The 1,668-nt window shown below is 47.2% G+C and overlaps 1 protein-coding gene across 1 annotated transcript; it reads right to left on the minus strand.

Annotated features, from left to right (window-relative positions):
* Nucleotides 1-476: 476 nt before the first annotated feature.
* Nucleotides 477-1,415, minus strand: OR1D5 (olfactory receptor family 1 subfamily D member 5). Its single transcript, NM_014566.1, has one exon. It carries the CDS (start codon nucleotides 1,413-1,415, stop codon nucleotides 477-479), a length of 939 nt encoding a protein of 312 aa, NP_055381.1.
* Nucleotides 1,416-1,668: the final 253 nt, after the last annotated feature.

Consider the following 1,668-nt stretch of genomic DNA (forward strand, 5'->3'; position numbering starts at 1 on the left):
AGTGGTGCGTGTTGTACCTGTTAGAACATCAAGAAAGGGGAAGCCTCACCCAGGGCATCTGTGGTAGGGGTAGTGCAAAGTGTCTTCTCTAAAGAGCTTGAAGATAGCAGGCTCCTTAGAGAAGCCAAACCTCTGGGTCATAAGTGAATGGGTGCTAGAAAACATGAGAGCCCTCCCTAAGCTATGACTGTGTATATATAGATAAGCCTAGGACTGTGGGCCTATGATCAAGCAGGTTTAAATATTTGACCCTGTAAAATCCTGGTAGTAGTGTTAGCATGACATTATTTATTGCCAAGGCTGGTGAGGTCTGGGAGGCACTGGGATACACATTGTGTCTTTTCTTCACCACAGGTAGATATGCTCATCCTGAGCTGGAGCTGTACTCTGACTGTTGCATATCCCAAAGCATAATGCCTTATGTGTGGAGAAGGATATTTCCGGTCTCCACTTCAATCCCCTTTCCAAAATTACCTTCATTTAGGCCTCTGAAAGGGTCTCCATAGGACTCTTCCCGGAGCCCCATGCATGTCTTTGTTCCTCAGCCTGTAGATGAAAGGGTTCATCATAGGTGTCAGCACAGCATACATCACTGTGGCTACTGAGTCCTTCATGGAGTAGGTATGGAGGGGCTGCAGGTACACCATAGCAAGCGTCCCATAAAAGAGGGAGACCACACCCAAATGGGAGGCACAGGTAGAGAAGGTTTTGTATTTCTTAGAGGCCGAGGGCATTTGAAGGATGGTTCTGACAATACGTACATAGGATGTGGTCATGAACCCTAAGGGGGTGAGGAAGATGAAGCAGCCAGTGGCAATCAACGCTGTGTGAATGATGTGGGTGTTGGAACATGCCAGCCACAGCAGGATGTACATGTCACAGAAGAGGTAGTGGATCTCTCGAGGCCCACAGAAGGTCACCCTGGTCAGGAGGAAGGTGAGGAGGAGGCCATAGAGAACAGACAGCCCCCAACACAAGGAGAGGAGCAAGACACAGAGCCCAGGGCTCATGGCTGTGACATAGTGGAGGGGGCAGCAGGTGGCCACATAGCGATCATACGCCATCACGGCCAGGATGAGGTTGTCCAGGGTCACCAAGGAGACCAGGAAGTAGAGCTGTGTCAGACACCCTGCATAGGAGATGGCTTTGTTCTGGGACTGGAAGTTCACCAGCATCTTGGGGATTGTGTTGGTGACAAAGAAGAGGTCAGTGAAGGAGAGGTTGGCCAGGAAGAAGTACATGGGGGTGTGCAGGTGGGAATCAGAGCTGATGGCCAGGATGATGAGCACATTTCCCAGCACCGTGACCAGGTACATGGACAGGAACATCCAAAACAGGATCCGCTGCTGCTCAGGACTCTCTGAGATCCCCAGGAGAAGGAACTGTGAGTTCTCACTCTGGTTATCTCCATCCATTCCCCCAACTTTCTGTAACATTAACACCAACAAATGTTTATTAAGTGCCCTCATTTGAATAAGGACACGAAGATAAGCAAAATCAACTCTTTTCTTAGAATTAAAATATCTTGGACTAAACTTTAAAAATAACAAAAGCAACAGGTCATTATAGGCACAAAAATAGAATATGGAAAGTATGCAACTTATTTATTCCAGCAACTTCTCACCTGACATAATGAATATTATAAAAACAATGTCTAAGCCTTATTTT

The sequence above is a fragment of the Homo sapiens genome, chromosome 17 (genome assembly GCF_000001405.40).
Source record: "Homo sapiens chromosome 17, GRCh38.p14 Primary Assembly".
In the NCBI taxonomy this organism is placed as follows: domain Eukaryota; kingdom Metazoa; phylum Chordata; class Mammalia; order Primates; family Hominidae; genus Homo; species Homo sapiens.

Bases quoted from the DNA above. Each gene is read 5' to 3' on its own strand.
- OR1D5 (NM_014566.1), bottom strand. From the start codon at position 1,415: ATGGATGGAGATAACCAGAGTGAGAACTCACAGTTCCTTCTCCTGGGG.